Below are 24,839 nucleotides of genomic sequence, written 5' to 3' on the forward strand. Positions count from 1 at the left end.
CGTGGAAATAAATTTTTAAGATTATTATAATACCCTTATAATTTACTTAAAATACTTCAGCTAGATAATGAAATACATCTAGGCATATCTCAGAGATATTGCAGATTTGGTTCTAGACCACTGCAATAAATGAATATTACAATAAGGCAAGTCACACAAATTTTTTGGTTTCTCAGTGCATATAAAAATTATATTTACAGTATACTGTAGTCTATTAAGTATCCAATAGAATTATGTCTAAAAAATAATGTATATACCTTAATTTAAAACCAATGTGTTGCTAAAAACTGCTAACAATCCTCTGAGTCTTCAGAGAGTCATAATCTTTTTGCTGGTAGAGGGTCCTGCCTTGATGTTGACGGCCTTGATCTGAATTAGGATTTGGCTAAGAGAATGTTGTGGCTGATGTGATCTTCTATTCACACCACTAAAACTTTCTTATCAGCAATAAGGCTGTTTTTCTTTCTTATCATTCATATATTCACTGGAGTAGTACATTTAATTTCCTTCAAGAACTTTTCCTTTACAATAACAGCTTGACTAACTGCTTGGCACAAGAAGCCTAGCCTTTAGCCTATATTGGCTTTTGACGTTCCTTCCACACTAAGCTTAATCATTTCTAGCTTTTGATTGAAAGTGAGAGAGTATGACTCTTCCTTTCACTTGAACATTTAAGAGGCCAGCATAGGGTTATTAATTTGCCTAATTTCGATATTGTTGTGTCTCAGGGAATAGGCAGACACAAGGAGAGGAAGAGATGGGGAAGAAATGGCTGGTCGAGGGAGCAGTTGGACACACAACATTTATTAAATTTTCCATCTTATATGCTCACTGTTCGTGGTGCCCCAAAACAATAACAATAGTAGCATCAAAGATCATTGATTGCAGATGATTACAACAAATATACTAATGAAAAAGTTTGAAATACTGCAAGAATTACCAAAATGTGGCACAGAGACACAAAGGGAGAACACATTGGTGGAAAATGGTGCCAATAGAATTGCTCGATACAGGTGTGCCACAATCCTTCAATTTGTTAAAAAAGAAAAAGCAATATTTACTTGTGAAGCACAAAAAAAAATGAAGTATGCCTGTATGCATCTGTTCAAGAGTTTTAACCACAGGGAAAGGATCAGGAAAATGCTAGTTCTCATTTGAGATACACTAATCAGAAATAAAACCCAGGGTGGCTACACAACATGCAAAGACTAATCAAAGGTCCATGCTCTTAAAACAACTACCGCAAATATCACATGCTTTTGTTTCCTATTAATACAGGCTTTGTTAATTAGAATAATGGTTTTTAGTAAGGCTGCTTCATGGGTGAAATCAGTGGTGTTCAAAATGTGTTCATTAGTTGCAAATATAACATAGGCATTCCTGTTCTTGCAAAGTGGTATAAGAATCTTGTGAACCCAACATGGGCCCTATGCTCTACCGTTCCAGCTCAGCAGCTGATTCAAAACAGTTTTGTTACCTGATTCTAACTAGAAGGGTAGCTGAATCCTGCTGCTGAAACACAGTTGCAGAAGTCTCTAATGAACTTTTCAGGCAAGGTACTGTCAGACAGCTTCAAAAGACAGCTGGGACTACATCAAGCTGACACGTGGCCATATAGCTGTTATTATATCTATTTGCAAAAAAAAAATGCTTTTTACATTTGGCAAAATTTGATGTTAGACTTTTTTTGGTTGTACTAGGCCTTCAGGTTTATGGGGTAAGAGACTGATAGCTATCATCTACTTTCAAGAACTGAAGGCTATGAGTATCGACCAAAAATAACCAAATTAAGGTGAATGACAAAATGGATTCTGGTCAGTTGGGACCAAAAGTCATTTTCTCCAGAAAGGTTGGCATGAATTTTTTTCTAGTGACTCTTAATAAATAAGATGAGATTAATACTTCTCAATAAATTAATAAATAGAAATTTCTGAATATTACTGAGCAGTGAGCCTGTGGTTTTCTAAAAACATGATGCTTTCTTGAATAATTCTGCTTTGTCTTTCAAAGGGATCTGAATTAGAAAAGCAACTAGCATGAAGCCCAGCAGTAAAAATAAAATGCTATAGGTCACTTGTCAGATGAATGGCATCTATCAGTAGTTAATTTCCACTGTCAGGTTTTTAATGAATTGCTTATTGTTTCTAGTAAGAAGAGAAATTTCTTAACAGCAGAAATTAAAAATTGTATTCTTGTTTATATCTTTGTGGATTAAAATACTAATTTAAATGGTAAAGCCTCTGTTACAATAAGAAGTAATTTGCTAGATGTCAATTTAGGAAAAAAAATCTTTTTCAAAAGAATGCTATTTCTAATGCACAGAGGAAAATGTTCTCTGAGGTATATTACATGAAAATTTCGGTGTTCTAATTATTGTTGACAGAAACAATATCAATCCAGGAATGATCCTCTAACCTGTTGAGCATATGTTAACAAATAGCATATCTTAAAATGCCTTTGTAACTCTTATGTCTAACTCTGCAAGAGGCTTGGACTTTTTTGAGAGTTAGGGCCATGATGATTGTGTGATCTTTATTGCTCCAAATTCAGCATCCTGACAGGTATTAGGTAGCCACTCAAAGAGTGTCAGCTGGATAAATGAATATTCTTGGACATTCATTTACTCATTGATTATCTGTTTCCTTATATTTAAGTATCATGAAGAAAGATAATTGTTGCTCCTGTTAATATGAAAAGAAAGTTTTATTCTTCTCTTTATTGATAATGGCTGAAATAATTTTCTAAAAATGTGTGTAAATGTCTCTGTAAAATGAGATTAGTTTCAGTGATCTAGAATGCTGTGTCACTCTGAAAAAAAAAAAAGAACAGATTTACCAGAAATGTAGAATATTGCTTTTTTAAAAAATGAGCAAATTATTTGCGGGCAGGGTGTAGAAAAAGAAAGAAAAAAAACGAGGACTTAGTGCAGTCGGGGAAGAAGGATGGAGAAGCTGCCTCTGGCCTTCCGTGAGCTGGAGCTGCTGGACTGGATCCTAACCAAGCTGGTCTTCAACTATTTACAACCCGGCTGCCTAGGCCACTTCCACAGTTTGGTATTTTCCCTACCAGCTCCGGGAAATGCGCCCCCACCTCGGGCACCTGATTTCCTCCCAGCTGCGAAGCCCACCCTGCCCAGACTCCTCCCCCGGGTGTAGCCCAGTCACGCAGGTTACAGCCATGCCGTTTTCCTCCATTTTTTAGGCATGCAATGCATGTACAGTTGATCTGCCACTTTTTAGGTGCCATCTCTATTATTATCCTCTAATTATATTATGTATCTTTTCTTTGAATGAAAAATTTGATGGCTGGGGCTTTTATTTTATATGTTCCCCTTTTCCATGCATCATGTTTCACCACAGCATACAACAGGTGCTCAAAGTAAATTTGCGTCAAACAGTACATTAAAATTATCCAATCTCATTTGTCTAAAGTTAAAAGGAGGATGGAAGGGAGGGAAAAATGGAGGGCAAGCCTGTATCTCATCTAAGATTAGTTCAAATTACCATTATTTCAAAATTCCATAAACTCTTTGAGCAAGCCAAATAGCTGCTGATCTTTATTTAATTACTGGAATAAATATATATGCTGTGTTTAGATAGATGGGTTAGGACAACTGTTAGTCATTTTAAAAATCAGGGTGGTTTCTGCTAATGAACAGTTATTTCTGAACTCACATGATTTGATTTCAGGAGTCCTGAGGAAAAAAAAAAAACTTTTTTGAATATGTTTTAAGCTTTTCCTGATGCCAAAAGACAAATTAAAAAAAAAAAAAAAAAGCACTTTGGTCTGTGGTTAGAAGGTTAGAATTCACACATTGTTTATGGGGCAGGTGTTCTTTCCTTAACTGACATAAATGCTGAATCACTAAAACCAACCCTTCTAATGTAGACAAAAAACCTCTTGAGTCCTATCTATTTTTTGTAAGAACCAGAAAATCAGACAGCTAATCTGTTTATGTAGAGTAGCTGAAAATTGCCTCCCAAAAAACTTGTCCTAATAAGTTATTTTTAAAATAACAACAAAAAAGTATTTTTAAGTAATGACTGACCATTTCCATGTAAAAAGTTTTATTTCCTGTGAAAAAGTATTTCATTTAAAGACATTTCATTTCACAACTTTTGTTAAAATCTTAGTTTTAAAAGACGCGATGATTCCAAGTATTTATTGAGTGTGAAACAAATTAGATGTTCCAAGTAAAATGTAAAGTTTTTAAATTCAAGAACTTGACTATTGCATCAAAGCAGACATTTCTAAAATCCAAGTTTTATCATCTTTTTTTGCACACTAACTTGAAGTCACTTTCTTTCCCATCTCAACACTTATTCACTGGTCATTTAGCAGTGCCTAACAAAATCTACCAGTATCATAATATACAAAACCATAAAACTACTAATCTTAAAGTAAGTCTTGCTTTTTATTTTTCTTTAGTGAATGTTTTAAAGTTAAATAATTGACCAATAATTTGTACTTGTTAAAAATGAATTTAGCCAATTAATATCTTTAACCAAAATTTTCATTTCACAGAATTTGAAAATCTAGCAGATAATAAAAAATAAAATTTTACTTAATCTCTTGCTCATTACTTGTTTATACTTACAAAATGAAGGAAGTACATACATAATCTATATTTATAGGATTATAGGAAAAAACATTTGCCAGTACTCCATTTTGTAACTTTGTATTGCATAGTCAAAATTGGTACTTAACAACAAAGAACTTAGTTATCTTTAAGTATGAACACTCTATTATAAATGTAAATCTCATACTCCATTGTACAAAAATGTCCACATTTTGGCACATCTTCACTTAAGTAAATAACACAAAAAGTTTTCTGGCAGTTATTTTCCTCTACAGCTTTTGAAAATAATACAACTGGCATTGCTTTTATCTAAGTTTATTTGCTTGTTTTTAATGCACCTGTTTTAGGGCTTTTTTCTACAATAAGGCCTGCTTAAGCTTAAGCTAAATTTTAGGGAGAAATGTGTTCCATTCAAGCACATATACAAAAATGCACTAAACTTTTAAACTTCAAATTTACATTCTTAAACTTCACATTTTTATCTTTATTTTTAAAAATATAATGGCTACACTAAAAGGTTAACTTTTTATTGACTTCTACTATATATTCCTTGAAGGCATTCCAGTAGACAAGTTATATAGTAGCTGAAGTGTCATCTTATACAGCAAAAAAAAAAAAAAAATGGTCTCCAAGTTTTTAAAGAAAAAAAAAACTCTTCAAACAAGATTATCTTTTTAAGTATGTAGCTAAAATTACTATCTTTGCATAGACTCCCATACTTGGTTTGACTTAGCAATTTTTTAACTTTATGATGATGTGAAAGTAGTACCTATTCAGTAGAAACCATACTTCAAGTACCCAATACAGCCATTCTGTTTTTCATTTTCAGTACAGTATCAATGTGTTACATGAGATATTCAACATTTTATTATAAAATAAGATTTGTGCTCAATTATTTTGCCCAACTGTAGGCTAATGTGAAATTGAACATTTAAGGTTTCCAGATTCTATTCTGACAGTCATTTTAGTGCCCAACCATATAAAATTGACACAAATAGAGAAAATTTAAACTTATTTAAATGTTTTAAGTTTCAGGATATAATAAATTTTACATACTTTACAAGCTTAGATATAGAAAGTTTACAGTTTCCAACATGTGTGAGTTTAGGTTGTCCTGCCTATCTACATGTAAACATGTAAAAAAATTCTACTTTAGAAACGTAATGTTTGTCTTCAATGAATCTTTACAAATACAAGCTCATGTAGAAAAATACTGGTGCTCTCTTTCCATTTAGTTGAAATTATTTTTTTTAAATGTGATAGGCCATATTTCATTAGACTTTAATTTCATTCCACTTGAGTCTAATGAAAAAATATAAATGTTGTAAATTTTAAGAACTTAAAAAAAAGCTTTTGTTTTGTCTAAGTATTTAAAACCTGTGAAATATGAATACATGCGAGTAGAATACAATACTGTGATTTTCAAATTTGCCCTGATTTTACTACCACATCACTGCTTGGTTTATTTGAGCCCGAAAAAATTAAATTCATTTAGCCATAAAATAATTATATGGGCATTAAAGTAGGCATGATTTTTGCTGTATGAACTCTCAGATGCATCAGATCCATAAGAGTCATGTTCATATAATACATAATTCACTAAGCATCATTATTCAACATACTTATTCAATCAGTTGTAGAGTTAATTTTTCAATGTCATATTTATCAAATTGCAATTAGTAATGTTATTAAAAGACAAGACAAACGTAGTTACTACTAGTGATTTCTTATGCATGTTTACTTCAACAACTAAATTTGTGTAGCCAAAATGCCATCAATAAATTGTCATAAAATATCTTACAAGACATTGTTGGTTCTATGATGATAGCATTTCCTATAAGATTTCTCATTTAAACTCTTCAGTAGAGCAGAGCAATAATAAAGTTTACTGTAAGTTTTATCCCTATAGCAGAGGTTGGTGATATGACAAACAGGAGACCCTAAAAAAATGCAAATAATATTAATAATCTCACAAGAGATCTTCAAGGGCTAAATATCTTTATAAATATAATAAATTAACTAATTTAAATAAAAGTAAATATATATGTGTATATATATACATATGAACACTAAATTTACATGTAGCCAAACATACAAATTATTTAATTACATATGTTGCATTATATAGATTCACATATTTATGTATAGACATACACATATAAAATATATATACAGACTCCCATACTTGGTTTGACTTAGCAATTTTTTGACTTTATGATGATGTGAAAGTAGTACCTATTCAGTAGAAACCATACTTCAAGTACTCAATACAGCCATTCTGTTTTTCATTTTCAGTACAGTATCAATGTGTTACATGAGATATTCAACATTTTATTATAAAATAAGATTTGTGCTCAATTATTTTGCCCAACTGTAGGCTAATGTGAGGGTTCTGAGCACATTTAAGGTAGGCTAGGCTACGTTATAATGTTTAGTAGGTTAGGTGTGTTAAATGCAGTTTTGATTTATGATATTTTCAGTTTACAGTTACAGGACACAACACCATCACAAATTGAGGAGCATCTGTGTTATATATATATTATATGTGCTTACACACCCAAATTTATATAAAAAAAGAACATGGCACACTGCCCGGTCCATAGCAAGCCTTCAATAGGTACAGTTTTAATAATCATTAATACCCTACTACAAATCACCTGACAAAACCAAACATTTATTCCTGACATTCTCTCAATCTGGTGCTCTATGCCATTTCTTTTCATCAACAAACTACCCTACACTCTGCTGCTTCTCTTCCAACATGGAGACTAGTTGTTTGGTTTGTTTGTTTTGCTTTACAGGCTGCACTTTGTCCATACTTCCCATGTTGGTGTTCTTTGGGACCCAAGTATTTCTTCCCATGTGGCACATGGACAATAGGACAATCCTTAAAACCACAAGATTTCTTTCACTCATTTGCAAATCCATAATGTCAGCCCTGACAACTCTACCATTCCTTTTGCTTTAGATGTGCATTTTCAGCTATCTAATGTTCATTTGCATGTGAATGTCCTATAAAGGCCTCAAACTCATTGGAATATAACTGAATTAGGCACCCCCTCTTTTAGTTACTCTTTCAATTAATGTTTTTATCATCTACCATACTACTAGTCTAGACTCTTCAACTCCCCCTCTTGCTCACTGCCTTTCATAAGCTGTCAAGTTCAGAATATTCTACCCAAAAGGAACATGGTTTCTGTCTGCACAGCTGCTATTAACCCCTTGCTGTTATCTCTTTCTCATACACTTCTAGTAAATGTCTACTACAATGGATGTCTAATATACTCATCTGAGATGACTTTTTGCCTCGTACTGCCGTAACAAAATACCATAGACTGGGTAGTTTAAATAATAGGAATTTATTTTCTCATAATTCTGTAGACCAGAAGTTCAAGATCAAGGTTCTGGTTGATTCAGTTTCTGGTGAGGCCTCTCTTCTTGGCATGCATACTGACGCCTTCTCTCTGTGCTCACCTGGCCTCACATGGCCTTTCTTCATTGCATGTGTGTATGTGTGCACACACGCATGTGTGCATGTTTACAGAGAGCTTTCTGTATCTCTTCTTATAAGGACCCTAATCCTATCAGATCAGGGCCTCACCTGTGTTACCTCCTTTAACCTAATCACTTCCTTAGAGGCCCCATCTTCTAATGCAGTCACACTAGGGTTTCAACATATAAATTGGAGTGGGGGAGAATACATTCAGTCCATAACACATATTATAAAAATAATGTATTTTTGTAGTTGCCTATTGATTAGAAATTCAAAATCCTCATTATTATTCAAAAGCCATTTAAAATATGACCACAAATGACCTGATTTTCTACTATTCCCTGAGAAGTTTCTGAACCCCCTTTTGAGCTTTAAAACTTGCATAACCTTCTAAACAATTTTCTCTCATTCTGAAAGTTTCTTAGTTACCAGGTTATCTTCTATTTGGGCTTCAAGTCCTAGCAAAATTATTACTACTTCTTGTTAAGCTTTCTCTGACTTTTCTGAGTGGTGAGTTATACTCTCCCCAGTGTTCTCAAACAGTTTATGACAGAGCACCTTTCACATTGTATTATAAATACTGATAAAAAATAAAAAAAACTATCTACTTTTACTAGTCTTTGGAATTTTTAAGGGTAAAGGTCATACTTCATTCATTTTCTAGAAGAAACTAAAGAAGGAAAGAAGAAGAAAGAAAAGGAAGAAATGAAGGGAGATAGATAAACAATACTAGGGAATAATTTCCATGATTTTAACATATTTTTTGCAGGAACAAGAAATAGTATAATATTTAATACATCCAAAATACAGTACTTAAAAATCTTAACTCTGAAGAAGGGAATGACAACTTCTTGGCATTTACAAATTGTTACAAGAAACACTTTTGAGCATCATACTTTTGGGCTGAGTTAAACACAACTATGCTTTGACTTTTACAAATGTGTGTGTGGCTTCATCAACATTTTTCTTTTTGATAAATGGTAAAAATTAGTGGCTCATGCTCTCTAAATTCATAGTTAAGAAAAAAGTTCTACCACTAGATTAGGTGGTTTTGGCTGATTTACTTTGGTATCTACAGTTTCCCCATTGGACATTGCAATGTCCAAAAGAGCCATATGTGGTTCTCCACCATTTTGTCTCTCATATCGTTTCTGATCACTCTCCCCCTCCTTCCAGGCTCATTGGTTTCTCACTTTTCCTATAACATCCCAACACCTTCCTACCATAACATTTTGGTAAAGAGGTTTCCCTCAACTTGAAACACCATTCACCCAGACATTTCTTTGGTTAACTCCCTCACTTCTCCCAAGTAGAGACAGCCTTTTCTACCTGAGTCATTCCCAGCATGCTTTGTAAATGGATTCATAGTTAGGTTTAGTTTTTCCATTAGTTGGATTTACAAATCAAGAAAATTCAGGCTAACTCAAAATGGATTATAGACCCAAAGATAAGAGAGAAAACTCTCCCAAAATAAAACCATGCAGCAAAGGGTTAATTCCATGGACTTGGAGTACTCAACCCTCATATATTCCAAAGAAAGAATTAGCTCTTGACAGTCCTTGAAGCATAAAAGTGTTTTTGTGTATCTGGAACATTGGGCCATACCAGAAAGTTTATGCTAACAACATGACTTCTGGTAAATTCCTGTTTTTGTTCACTTGGGGTCCTGGACCACACTGTATAAGTCTGACATTTGTAGGGGCTGGAGACTGAGTAGCTGAGGTCAGTCCCATGGGCACTCCATGTTTATGAGGCTTTCCACACAAAAAAACCTCGGACATGAAAGTATAGATGAACTTCTCTGGTTGAAACTACTTTGTAAATGTTGTCACGCATCATTGTTAAGAGATTTAAGCACTGTCCATATGTCTCCACTGGGAGAGGATAACTGACAGCTCATGTTTGGTTTCTCCTGAACTCTGCCCTATACTGCTGTTTTCCTTTGCTGACTATCTTTTCTCTGGAATAAATCATAACCATGAGTATAATAGCTTATGTAGTTCGAGTTCTTCTAGAGAATTAGTGAGGGTCATCTTGGGGACCCCCAACAGAAAAACAGTGGAGAAAAGTTTTGTGCTCTCAGGTTAGGTAACATGATACCAAAAGCATGAGCCCTCCCCTACCTCCCCCCCCAAAAAATACATTGGATTTCATCAAAATGTAAAACTTTTTGCTTCAAAGGCAACATAAACAAAATGAAACCACAAGCCACAAAGGAAAGAAAATATGTACAAATTGTATATCTAATATATTTGCAAATCAAATATCCAGAATAAAAAAAGAATTCTTATAACTCAGTAAAAGGAAGACAACACAATTAAAAATGGGTGAATGATTTGAAGAGACATGTGATCAAAGAGGACAAATAAACTGCTAATAAGCATAAGAAAAAGTACTCAACATTAGTTGTCATTAAGGAAATGCAAATTAAAACTACAATGAGATACCACTGGCTATAAAGGGAGAAAATACCAAGTCTTAGCGTGGATGTTAAGAAACTGGGATCCTTATACATTAATGGTAAAAATGTAAAATGACATATTATTCATAATACTTGCAATCATGAAACAATCTGAGTGTCCATCAACTGGTGTTAAACGAAATGTGGTATATCCATACAATAAAATACTATTTACCAATAAAAAGGAACAAAATACTGATGTATGCTACAATATAGATGAACCACAAACACATACTAAGTGAGAGAAGCCAGATAAAAAAGACTGCATATTGTATGACTTACTTTATATGAAATGTCTATAGAAGGCAAATTTATAGACAGAAAGCAGATCAGTTGTTGCCTAGGGCTAGAAATGCCCATAGAGATTAATGGCAAAGAACCCAGGCTAATTCTTTAAGATGATGAAAATGGTCTTAAATCGATGATGATTATACAACTCTATCAATTTACTTAAAACCATTCAGTTGTATACTTATAGTGGTTGAATTTTATGGTATATAAATTATACCTTGATAAAACTGTAAGAAAAATCTAATAAGAGAGGACATAAAAACATGCTATACCTAACTTATACGTAAGAAAGAGCTAGGTGCTTCAGTACAGAGGAAAATGAAGACCGGAATATGGAAGACAGGGAATCCAGGGAAAGGGGAGTAGAAAAATTGCAAGAATAAAGAGGCAGCTGGGGTAAACCTCGTAGAGAAGGGAGTTAGTCAAGTCGATGTCCTGAAGAAGAGTTTTCCAGATGAAAAGTGTGAACAAAGCTTTAAGGCAGGAGAATATCCCCAAATTTGAGGAACAGTGAAGTGGCTAGTATGGCTAGGAGGAGAAGCAGATTAATAAGCAATAAACTCAGATAAATAATGCAACATGGAGACAATGTGGGGACTTATTACCCATATAAGATTTTTATTTTGAGAAAAAATGGAGGGTTTTTAACAGAGGAGTGACATAATCTGACATCCATGATTCTAGATGCTATGTTGAGAATAGATTTTAGAAATGAAAGAAGGAAGAGCATTTAGGAGATTTTGATAATCTTAGCAGTAAATTATGATGGCTTGAACTAAGGGGATAAATGGAAGTTGTGGGAAATTATGGGGTTCCCTATAAAGCATGGGGAAAAGGAATTTGGGCATCAATTTTCTTTTCTTGAAAGTTAATTCATATTTTTATAAAAATTATAACAGAATACATCAAAATGTTAACCATATTTCTCTCTGTTTGGTGGCATTATGGGTAATTATGCATTTCTGCATTTATAAAATTACCAACCATGCACATGTGTTTTTCTAAAGCAAAAAAAAATTAATATCCAGCTCTTCAAAAGAGATCATAATGCAAACCAATTTTGTTTTTTGCCAAATTTTTAAATCAACACCAAAATGGCTACATATACAAAGTCAACAGGGGTAAATGGTAATGTTAGCAATATGAAGAGTAGTTAAAGAAGCAACAGATGCTTCCTGAATAGAGTGATAAAATCACTTTCTTATGAACATGTGGTAGCATTATTACCCAAGTAACTTCCCTGACATTATATGACTCTCTTTAGAATATGCCTGGTTTTGAATTTTTTGAAGTTGATAATAACTTCAGTTCCAGTCATAATAAAAATAATTTATTGTATCAGTGAGAGAAGTGTAGCTTATATTAAGATAACAACTTCAAAATCTCAGAGATTAAACAATAAAGTATATTTCTTATTTCACTACATGTCAGGTACAGGTGGATGAGGACATGTTCTCTGCTAATTATAGTCACTTAGCAACATAGGCTATTGAAGATTTCATTTTGACATAGTCTACCATGATGAAATATGTTTAATTATGAACTGGTTCTTAAAGTATCTGTTCCAAATTATACATATTATTTTTGTTCTCAGTACATTTGCCAATACAAGTCATGTGATCATGTGACCACAAAAGGGTTGGGAAGTACAAGCATACCATGTACTCAAAAGAGGTGGAAAAGTGGAATAGATGAACACCATTTTTTTCCTCAGATTTGTTCTTTGGTTATAAACTGCTCACTTAAAGAACTGAAGAGGACAAGATAGCACAAGTCAATTTATCTATGGCATATGTCATACATAATTATCCACAGCTTTAATCTGAGAGGGACTCATAACATCAATTGTGTTAGCTCCTTGCAGGGATCTCTAAATTGGGCCACATATTCCAAAGAGTATTACAAGATATGAGGTTAAAGTGGAAAATAGTAGAACTTCGTATTCATTTCCACATAAAACAAATAAGAAAACTAAACTATACTAATATTTAACAGAAAGAGTTATATTAGTTAATTTCAAGGTTGCTAGTATTTAATATTAAAAATCCTAATTTATCTCTGCATCGGATAGTCATATGACATGTATGGTAAGTCACATACTAAGATAGATTGGGAATTTCAAAAAATGAGTTAAAGGAATTGTTTTAATTCATTCATTTACTTTCAATATACTACAACATAATGCAGGTGAAGTTAAGTTGATTTAAGAATTGTTATAATCTAATTCTATCTATACTCACTCTCACAAAATAGACATAACGTCACAAGATGCCAACACAGACATTTGAGAATTAAAGATTGCAGGCCCTATCAAGAAGAAAATGATAGAGTGACACGTCTTCTATTAGCACAATCTTGTCATTGTCTGCGTACAACTGCTATCTAATGAAACTGCCAAAATCAGATTTAGGAAGATTATTTCACAACATGAAATTTATGAAGATTATTTCACAGAGTGATAGCCACAAATATTAATGATAAACCTGCTGTATGAGTAGATTACATACAATGTATATTGGACCTTGATGAGGTATCTTCAATAGCTGTCATTCAAAACAAGCACTAAAATAAATTAATTAGAACCATTCGAATCACTGGGTCACATGATAATCAGCATTTTCCAAAACAGTATTCAGTAATAAAAACATGTAGTATTTTCAATAATTTTCAGTAACATGACTTCTGCTAAAAATAGATTGATAGTTAATATGTTTTATTCTCATTCATATGTGGTAGCTAAAAATATTGATCTCATGGAGGGAAGAGAGTAGAATGGTGGTTACCAGAGGCTAGAAAGGGTAGCGGGGAGAAGGGGGTGAAGTGAGATTGGTTAATGGATACAGAAATACAGTTAGCTAGAAGGAATAAAGCCTAGTGTTCAATAGCACAGTAGGGTGATCATAGTGAATAATAACTTATTGTCTATTTCAAAATAACTGGAAGAAAAAATTTGGAATAGTCCCAAAACAAAGAAATGATCAATGTTTGAGGTGAACAGTATCCTAATTACTCTAACTTGATCACGCTGTATGTATGAATCAAAATATTACATGTACCCCATAAATATGTACAATTATTATATATTAATTTAAAAACTAGCTAGTTGTTACAATAGAATTAACAGCTTTTGTGAGAAAAATAGTGTATATTATTAACAAAAATTAAAATTGTATATTATCAATTTTATCTTTCTTTTTTATAATTTTATTATTATGTATGCTTTGGAAGGAATATAAATATCAATAGAGAAATACATGTATGGAAAGCGGCATCCTCTTTTTTTAAATTGATGAGGTTTTTGATCAAATAAAGTCCTGATCAATTAGGTAATGGATAGGGCATTCCAACCACAAGCATCCTCTGTGCCCAAGTTGGATTTTTAATTGCCTAACTTGAAATATCCACTTGGCTGAGTAATAGATATTTATATTTAATATGTCCAAAACAAAACTTTTGTTTTTCTCACTAAAATCTCATCTTCCCCTGGTCTTCATGACTCTGTCAAATACACAAACATTTACCCAGTGGTTTAGGCCAAAATCTTGAATTCATCCTTTAGTCTTTTCATTTTCTCACCTCAATTTCAAATCCATTAGAAAGTCCTTACATTTCGGCCAGGCGCGGTGGCTCACACCTGTAATCCCAGCAGTTTGGGAGGCCAAGGCAGATGGATCACCTGAGGTCAGGAGTTCAAGACCAGCCTGATCAATATGGTGAAATCCTGTCCCTACTAAAAATGCGAAAAAATAATTAACCAGGCCTGGTGGCGGGCACCTGTAGTCCCAGCTACTCGTGAGACTGAGACAGGAAAATCGCTTGAATCCGGGAGGTGGAGGTTGCAGTGAGCTGAGATTGCGCCACTACATTCCAGTCTGGGTGACAGAAAGAGACTCCAGCTCAACAAAAAAAAAAAAAAAAAAGAAAGAAACAAAGAAAAAGAAAGTCCTGACATTTCTACCTCCAAAGCATCTCTTGAACTGTTCCTTTCTCTTCACACTAAATCAAGGCACCATCAACTCTCCTCTAGATTATTGCAGTCTCCTAATATATCATTCCACTTTTGCCTCACTAATGCCTGTTCTCCCCAAAATAGCCAGTGATCTTCCTCAAATGGCAATCAGGTCTTGTCAGTCTGCTGCTCAAACTGGTCATTGGCGTCTCATAAAACCCAAACTCCTTGAAATGCTCTTGCCCACTCCTTAAACCTCTTCTCATATGTTCTTCTCCCTGCTTTATATGTGCTCAAGGTACAGGGATATGTTTTCTCTTCCTCAAACAGACAAAGCTCCTTTTGGTCCCCAGATGTCTGCACTGTCTGTTCACTCTGGAACACTCCAGAACCTAGATCTTTCCTTGGCTGATTCCTTCTCAATATTCAAGTCTCTGCTCCAAAATCATTTCTTCAGAGTGGCCTTCCCTGACCACATTAGTTTACAGGTCCTACGGGTTTCCCAGCCCCACTCTGTACCACATTCAGTGTCACTCTGGCCTTCAAGGCCTACAAGGTCTGGGCCTGCCCACGCCTCAGTCTTTCTCCCACCATCCTTCCCCCAATTCCTTGCCTTCAGCACCACTGGGCTGCTCCCTGTTTCTTATCCAGACCAAGCAAGCTCTTCAGTAGTTTGCACTTGTTCTGTCCTCAGCAGGGATGTTCTTCCAGATGTGGGCAAGGCTTATTTCCTCAGTTTATTCAGGTCCCTGCTCAAATTTCATCAGAGATAATCTGCCCCGGTCACCCTATCAAAAGATCACCTTTCACCTCACCTTGCTTTACTCTCCAGTCAGTGCTTCATGACACTTGTATATATTCTAAATCTAGGTTTGTCATTTGTCCCATTTACTAGAATATAAGCTCCGAGAGGGGAGGGCTTTACTTTTTTTCCCAACTGTAATTCTAGACCCTTTGACAATGCCTGATAATGCATTATTAGGATGTATGTAAGCTATTCCATTCTAGGCTCGCTTAACATTTTTCTATAAAACATGCTTCTATGAGCATTCTAATATAATCATTATTTTGCTTTTTGTAATTGTATTTTAAAATTAATTTCTAGTGATTGGATGTTTATAAACATTTTTCTCTGTAGATAAATATTACCCAGTTGCAACCTCGAAAGTCTGTAACCGTTTACACATTACCAAGTGTGCCTCGGCTCCTTTCCACACATTCATGCCTACAATAACTTTTGTGAATCTTTTAATACCAGTGACCTGAAAGAGAAATAATGATTTATTGTTTCATTAGCATTGTTGATAGTAGATTTGAATTTTTTAATATTAGTATGGTATGTGAACTGCCTTTTACATCTTTATATTCACTTTTGTTTATTGTTATTTAGTAATTCCTTATACATTCAGGATATTTATAGTCTGTTTGCTCTATATTATGTAAATATTCCCCTTGTGTAGAGTTAGTCTTTCTTCCACATTTATGTAGTTTGGGTTTTTTTGGAATAAGGAAGCTTTTTATTTTATAAATTTAATTTTTTCACTTTGTAAAGTTTCAGTTTCACATTTTTATGTGGTTTCTTTAAATGGTTTTATTGTTAATGTTTTACTTTTTACTATTTTTCTTCATATTCAATTTATGTTGGTATATGTAACAGTAGAAAAATTCAAATCAGTTTTGTTTTAATTTTTGAAATAATTGACCAGTTTCTTTACAATATACCAGCATTAAGGTAATAATAATAATAGTTATGATTTACTGAAAGATTGATCTCAGCCAGTCATTTTGCTAAATTCTTTATATGCCATAGCTCAATTAATCTTCACATCATACCTCAAGGTTGTGATAAAACCTATTTTTTGTAACAAAGGACAAATGTTCAATGTTTTAAGTTGACCATGGAATCACCTCTCATTTATAACTTATCCAAGAGGCAGAGTCCTGAGTTTATAACCCACAATTCTGTGCTTCACATCAATAGGGCATAAACGCTTCACATCGATACGGCTCCTAAAATAATAAATGCTTGAGCAACATGTTCTTGTGATGAACATTCTCCCTATTATCACTGTGGTTGTCAACGGCGAGTATTCAATCCAATACTACAGAACCTCACATGATTTGACATCAGCCTCTTTCAAATTTCCTTAAACCTCCCATCCCCCAAAATTTGTCACAGAGTCATCATCACCACAGGACGGGTGGAATCTGGCTCCACTGCCTGAACTGAGACAAAAGGCAGAAAGAGGACAAAGAATATGTTTCCTTCCACATAAAACAAAAAATAGAACCCCAAAATATTGGAAACAAATGCTTAGAAAATGATATACCAAAAGAAAGCTGGAATAGTAACATTTTCTAAAAAAATAGAACCTAAAGAAAAAAAATCATCAAGGAAAAAGGATAATAATACAGTAAAAAGATGTAACTCTCTAACATAGGCACATGGAACAACTGAACCTCAAAAAAATTTTGATGAAATAAAAGACAGAAATGAAGAGTGAACCAGATAGATGTACAACAGATAAAGTAAATGAGAGATTAAGCATATGAAAAATAAGCAGTGAGAGAAATAATTTGAACAAAACAAATAAAAACTCAAGCTATTTGGCATATAAAGAGAGGTGTTATAACAAAAAACAAAGCATACTTTTTTTTAGCACACAGGAAGCATTTCCAAAGTAGAACATGTTTCATACCACAAAGTAAAGGAAACCACAACCAATTCCAAATAAAGACTATCAATCTCGAACAAAATACAATGAAATTATTAATTAAAAGCAAAAGGATAGCAAATAAAATCTTATATGATCACTAAATAAACAAAATTAATAGCTACTGGATTTAAAAAGAAATACATTATAATTAGATCTGAGGAATAATGAAAATGCTACATGGCAAAAGTTATAGGAAACAGTTAAAAATACTTAGAAAAAAATAATAGTTTAAAACACATTTATCAAGAAGCAAAGTATTAAACATGGCTGCCGATTCAACATAGGAGGCTGGAAAAGTAGCAAGAGAGAAAACAGACAAACAAGAAAATAAACGAGACTGAATCAGAAAAAATAAAAGAAACAAAACATAGAGAATATTAACAAAACCAAATTCTAGCTTCTTTTCAAAAAAATTCCATGTTTAGTAGGTCATCCAGGAGCACTCTAACAAATTTTTAAGAAGATGTTAAACCTACTTTTAGAAAATTATCTCAGAAAACAGAAATAGCAAAATTTATGTAACTCATTTTCGGAAGCTAATGTTATCTTAAATCTAAAATGAATAAGTCTATGGGCTCATTTTAATTATGATTAAATGTAAAAATCCTAAATATAATATCAAATTCCTACATTGTATTTCAAAAAGTATATACTTTTTGAAAATACATATATTTATATGAATATATATATTTATATGAAAAAAATGTATATATAATACATATATTTATATGAAAGGATCCTCCAACATTTGAAAAATCTTTAAAGTTAACTCACATAAACACACTAAAGAAAGTAAATCACATTATTATCTTAATAAGCTCAATACCTATTTATTCGGAAAACTCCTAGAAAGCAAAGAATAGTTGGGAACTTCCTTAGTTGAGTAAAGGTTAAACACCAAAATTTAGTACATAATATATTAACAAGGAACTTTAGATGATTTTCTTTATGACTAGGAATAAGACAAGGATTTCCACTATTGCTTGATATAATACTGAAGGCTCTAGCCTGTAATAAAAAGGTAAGAAAAAACATTTGTGGTAAGAAAGAGACACAACTTGATGTTTCTGACATTAATGTCTATTTAAGAAAACCAGTGAAATAAAAAATATAAACTATTAGAATTAACAAGGGAATTTATAAATATTACTAATCGTATTTAACTGCATTTCTTCACTTCAGAGACAATCAATGGGAAAACAGACAAAATACGATCTCAATATAGCAATATATATATACACATGATATAAGTATGTGTGTGTGCATTCTAGGAACTAGCCTAGGATACATAAGAACTCTATAGAGACACTTTTTTAAACTGTGATAAATTATGTAGAAGATATTTTATTCTCTTGTTTAAATGAGAGATAAACTATGCTCATGGATAAAAAGACTTTACTATTAAAAAATTGAAGTCATAATTTAAAACATTTCTATATTAGAAATCTCAGCTCAGGAGGCCTTCATTGAAAATTCTACTAAATATTTAAATAAGCGATAACACCAAAGTTACATAAAATCTTTAGGAAAATAACAAAAGACTCCAACCAAGAAGTTCCGTAAGTTCAACTAACTTGATAATAAAGCCTGGCTAGGATATTACAAAAAAATAAAAACTATAAGCCAATATTATTCCCTAAAAGAGATACAAACATTCTAACAAAAAAAAATAGTAAGCCAAATTCAGTGAAATATGACCCCATTGGTTGTGTTCCACAATTAAAAGCATGTTTAACACTTTTTAATGTAAAAAAAACTATGTAATTATCATAAAAGTTACAAAAAGAATATTTGATAAATGTCAAATATATATTCAAGTTTTTAAAACCTGTTAGAAAACTAGAACTAATTTAACCTAAAACAAACATCATGAATGGTGGATTACTGAAAATTGCTCTCAGTGGTCATGAATGAAATACAGAGATCTTTTTTTTATCATTACCTCTATTCAGTATTATAGTAGAAGCAAAATCCATCAATATTCACAGACAATGCAAATGTACACATAACATATACAAAATGTTAAAGATATATTCTTAAAATTCAATAAGTACAACAAAGAGAAAATGATTTTAAAAATACCATTTAAAATGGCATGAAAAAATCAAATAACTAAGAATAAATCTGAAAAAATACAAGATCTGTACAAAAAATTATAAAATGTTATTGACAGAAATGAAATAGACTTAAATAACTAAAGAGCTATACCAGATTAGTGGGTCAGAAGACTTAATTTAAAATGATGCCAATTTTCTCCAAACCAAAGCACAGCTAATCAAAATTCCAGGAGGACTTTTGAGGAAGTTGATAAGTTAATTCTAAAATGTATGTGAAAATTCAAAGTGCTAAACTTAAAGAGGAATAATAAATTGAGAGAACTTGTTCTAAAGCAGTAGTTATCAAATTTGGCTGTGTGTTATAATCATCAGGAAGATTTTCAAAAACTGATGGTGATGCCTTACCTTTTACATAATTAAATCTTTACCTCTTGAGGAGAAACCTAGGCATTTATATTTTAAAATCAATCCAGGTATTTTTATTTCACAACCAAGTTTGAGAACCATGGCTCTGTAGCATATTATTAAATATAATCTAATAGAAAGTATATATTAGATATTGCATATCCACATTATTTAAGACAGGAAAAATTGATGTAAGGATAGCAAGTAGATGAATAGAACAGCATAAAAGGGAAAAGACCCAGGCATGTATGGACACTATTTCTGAGTAAGGTTAACAGAGTAAGATGATAGAGAAAAGGCAGCTTTTCAATAAATGTCACTGCACCAATTGACTCTGTAGAAGAGAAAAATAAATATTGCTCTCAACTTCAAACCATATACAAAAACATAAACCCAGATAGACTACAGATCTGAAGGTGAGGGTAAACAATAGGATTTCTAGAAGATAATACATATTTTCATGAACTTAGGGTAAAGAAAAAAATTGTTGACAACACAGAAAAAGGAAAATATAAACTGACTACACTAACACGAAAGTGGAAAACTTTCGTCCATTAAAAGACACAATTTTGAAAATAAAATATGAAACTATAGACTAAGAAAGTAATTTGCAACACAGAAAATTGACAAAGAGTAAATATCCCAAATATATATATACACATAAACTCCATCAAATCAATAACAAAAATGTATAAAATTCAACAGAAAAATGAGCAAGAAATATAAACCACCTCTGCAAAAAAGAGTATTTCCAAAAATCCAAGAAATATATGAAAAGGTGCTCAATCTTATTAGTCATCAAGGAGATGAAAACTAAAACCATGAGCTACCACTATACTCTTGCCAGAATGACTAAAATTAAGAAGACTGATAATATCGTGTTACTAAGCATATGAGTTAATTGGAACACAAATATACTGCTTGTAGGAAAGTAAATTGGGTTACTTAAGAAACTTGCTTTTCATTAGCTTCCAAGGGTGAATGTACACACACAATATGACATAGTAATCCTACTTACTTTTATGCCCTACTTAATGCATATACACGTAGGCACACATGTACAAGAATTTTCATGACAAAATTACTGGAAACTCCAAGCCAGAAATAATCCAAATGCCTATTGGCAGTAGAATTAATACATAAATTGTAGTATATTCATCTAATGGAATAACATACACTGAAAATGAATGAACTATATATAAAACAGCATGGATTAGTTTCACAAATATAATGTTAAACAGATATACCAACCAGAAAAGAATACATACTGTAATTTTCCATTTATGTAAGGGTCATAAATGGACAAAAGTCATGATAGTGGTTACACTTGAGGGAGATAGTATATAATGACTGAGAAAGAGCACAGGATAGGGCTTCTGGAATACTTGGAATTTTCTATTTCTGGACCAGGGTGGCAGTTACATGAATGTGTTTACACTGTGAAAATGATCAAGGTATTTAGTTTTTTCCCTCTTAATTGAAGTAAAACATAGTAGTAAAATAATAAGGTATGAAGAAGATGGTCTGGACACATAGAGGGACACTACATTCTTTCTTAAAACAATATAGAATGTCAATTCTTTCCAACTTAATCTACCAAATCAATAAATCCAATAAAAATCCCAGTTAGATTTCTTATAGAATCAATTGATTTAATAAAAACTCATTGAAAAAGTTATGAGATATTATCTCACTTCAGTTAAAATAGCTTTTATCAAAAAGATAAAAAATAATGGATGTTTGAGAGGATGTGGAGAAAAGGGAACGTTTATACTCGATGGGAATGTGTATCAGTACAGTCACTATGAGAAACAGTGTGAAGTTTTCACACACACACACACACAAAAATAGAACTACTTACAACCTAGTAATCCCACTGCTGGATATATATTCAAAAGAAAAGATATCAATATATTACAGATACCTGCATTCACATGTTTTTACAATAGCCAAAATATGAAATCAACTTAAATGTCCATCAACAGATGAATAGACAAATAAAATGTGGAATATTATTCAGCCATAAAAAAGAATGAAATCCTGTCATTTGCAACAACATGGATAGAACTGAAGGACATTAGGTTAAGTGAAATAAGCCAGGCACAGAAAGACAAATATCACATGTTCTCATTAATTTGTGGGAGCTAAAAAAATTGATATCATGGAGATAGAGAGTAGAATGATGGCTACCAGGTGCTGGGAAGGGTAGTGGGAGGGGGATAGAGAGGGGTTGGTTGATTAATGGGTACAGAAACACAGTTAAAAGGAATAAGATCTAGTGTTTGGTAGTACAATAGGGTGACTATAGCTAAAAATAATTTACTGTATATTTCAAAACAACTAGAGTAGTGGAATTGGAATGTTCCTAACATGAAGAAATGGTAAAAGTTTGAGGCAATGAATAATATCCCCATTACTCTGACTTGATTATTACACACTGTATCAAAATATCACATGTATCCCATAAATATGTATATATATTATGTATCTATAAAAACATTTTTAAAGTCTATGAATATCTAAGCCAATTTAGGAAAAAAGGATTGAAAACAAGGGATTGGTCTATACATCATTTCTATATTAACATGTATTGCAAGGCCATAGTTACAAAAATAGTGTGTTTGGGGGCAGCTAAGAAAAAAAATAAACTAATGGAATAGAAGAGATATTTTAGAGACAGACTGATACAGAGGTGAACATATAATATGATTTGAAGGAGGCAACAAAAATCAATGGCGGAAAGATTGTCAGCTTAGCAAATGGTACCTGGAAATCAGGTGAACTGTATAGAGAAAACTAAAATTGGATCCCTGTACAATTCATAACATTGTCCTCCAAATAGACTAAAAACTAAATGCAAAATATGAAACCGTAAAGTTGATAAAAACAACATAGGAAAATATCTTTTTAAAGTAGACATAAAGAAAGACTTTTTACGTAAAGCCTAAAAAACACAAACCATGAGACAAAAAATGATTTGGGGCTGGCTTAGAAATAGAGACATTGATAATATGATTATACACGGCAAAACATAGTCTGATTCCAAAAATCAACTTACAAATTAGTTAAATAAAACTGTACACTAAGCTGATAACAGCCCATATCAATTCATCACCTGCAAGTATGTGTGTGTATATTTTATATATATATATATATATATAATATATATAAAAACTGGAGCTGACGTGTTAATCTTTCTTTTACTTTGCAACATAATATGTAATACATTATTTTGTCTACGAACAAGAAAGACCTGCCTACCAACAGTTAAGTTATTTTCCTGGTAGTTTTGTCTTGATCTGTTTCTACAACTGCTTCAATTCTACCACTCTTGAGGCCAGAAATACACCTACAGAATTATTAATTGTATTCTATGTATTCAAACTAACCATGTAAAGATTCTAGGTTGTATATTGGAGGTTATAATGTTCTTTCACCTGAATTAACATAGTGAGTTACACCAAAACTCACTATCTTATTATTCAATAAGTTTAATTGAACTCTGAGTTTCAACATCAATTTTTAAAAATTATCTTGTAGCAATAATTTCTATACCTTCAAATTAAAATTTTCATTATTTAAGGAATTTGGAGTTAGGCCACTACAGAGTGAGAAAAACATTGGTATAAGCAACATTTAGGAGCTAAAAGTTTGGGAAATATTTGGAAATACTTCTTTCTAAACACTGTGCCTTTGATAGTTGCTTTTGTTTTAGCAAGCTAAATTTTATTTTTTATATTGTGGAAACATAAATATTGATAACTAAATTTATTATTCTTGATTACAACCAATTTCAAAGCAAAGGCAGAAATAGTTCACCATTCAAGGCCTACAGAAAGCTCAAGAAGCTTCACTCAATTCCTTATTTCTGTCTGTCCCAGAGTCCTGTCTAGTTTCTCCCCTCTCCAACACCATTGGCTTTTGACGATTCGTTGGTCAGTTCATTACTTTCTTTTGTGATCGCCTTTCCTTTACCAGAACTCACATATTTGCTGTTAAAATTCCCCCCCTCCAATTTTCAAAAATGTATACTTTACAAGAATGTTCTAGCCAGTAAAGGTATTGGAGAGTGCTTACCTTCAAGATAGATGCCTGCCTGGATTTCTAGAACCCTGGGTAGGGTCCTGAGGTCAAGGGAGTGGACGAATTCTTCCAGTGATAATGCCATTGCTATGCCTTGGGTAGTTTGTAGACCTGGTGCTCACAGAAACTTGTGGCTTCTGGGTGACACTTGTCTGCAATTGCAGCCCCTGCTCACCATTTCTTCCTCAGGCAGGCAGGAATGTCACACTACAGCCAGAGTGGGGTGGAGTAGCTCTATGTGGGGAGGACAATGAAGAGGGAGGGGGGAAGCAGGAGACAAAAAATGTTATAGCTCTTTTTGTTCACATTGTGGCTTCATTTCCTTCTGACATTGAAGTTGAACAGGATGGGGGTGGGGTGAACAGACACTGCCCAAAAAATGAGACGTGCTAAGTAGCGCATTCTGTCCTTTGTTAATCCAGGTGTGCATCTACTATGGTAGCAAAACTGAGGTCAGAGTTGCTTGTGGCTTGCCCACCAACAAAGAACAGGAATATAGGACTAAAGTCTAATCTTAAAAATGGCACCATGTGAATTCATTATCTCTCTAGTTCATTTCTAAAGCTTGGCTTTGTGCCTTATTTGCATACTGTCAGTGCCTTTACATTAAAATTGGTAATAAAAGTGCTTTGCGTCAGCTCTTTTTAGAATTCTGATACTATACTCTGGAGAGAGTATTGAAACCACTTTTTATTCTTCCACATTAAAAATTTTGCTGAATCTTAAAGGAGGGTAGGGTAGGGATAGAATATGCAAAATGATACAGTAAATTAACAAAGTACATTAAAATGAGTTTTCTAATCT

At 32.9% G+C, this 24,839-nt stretch overlaps 1 protein-coding gene across 11 annotated transcripts in view; it reads right to left on the bottom strand.

The window, feature by feature from the left end:
• Nucleotides 1-24,839, bottom strand: part of THEMIS (thymocyte selection associated) — a 221,968-nt gene that overhangs the window by 180,185 nt on the left and 16,944 nt on the right. For 5 of the 11 annotated variants that reach the window (XM_047418764.1, NM_001394521.1, NM_001010923.3 and 2 more), the window contains exon 1: nt 24,030-24,246. The exons of 3 other annotated variants lie outside the window; for them this stretch is intronic. In XM_047418764.1, coding sequence (XP_047274720.1) covers nt 24,030-24,120 — 91 coding nt within the window. In that variant the 5' untranslated portion in view covers nt 24,121-24,246. Of the gene's footprint in view, nt 1-24,029; nt 24,270-24,839 lie in introns of those variants that run through there. 3 more of the 11 variants (XM_047418766.1, XM_047418765.1, XM_047418763.1) reach the window with 1 other exon arrangement.

Source organism: Homo sapiens, chromosome 6 (assembly GCF_000001405.40).
Source record: "Homo sapiens chromosome 6, GRCh38.p14 Primary Assembly".
Taxonomy (NCBI): domain Eukaryota; kingdom Metazoa; phylum Chordata; class Mammalia; order Primates; family Hominidae; genus Homo; species Homo sapiens.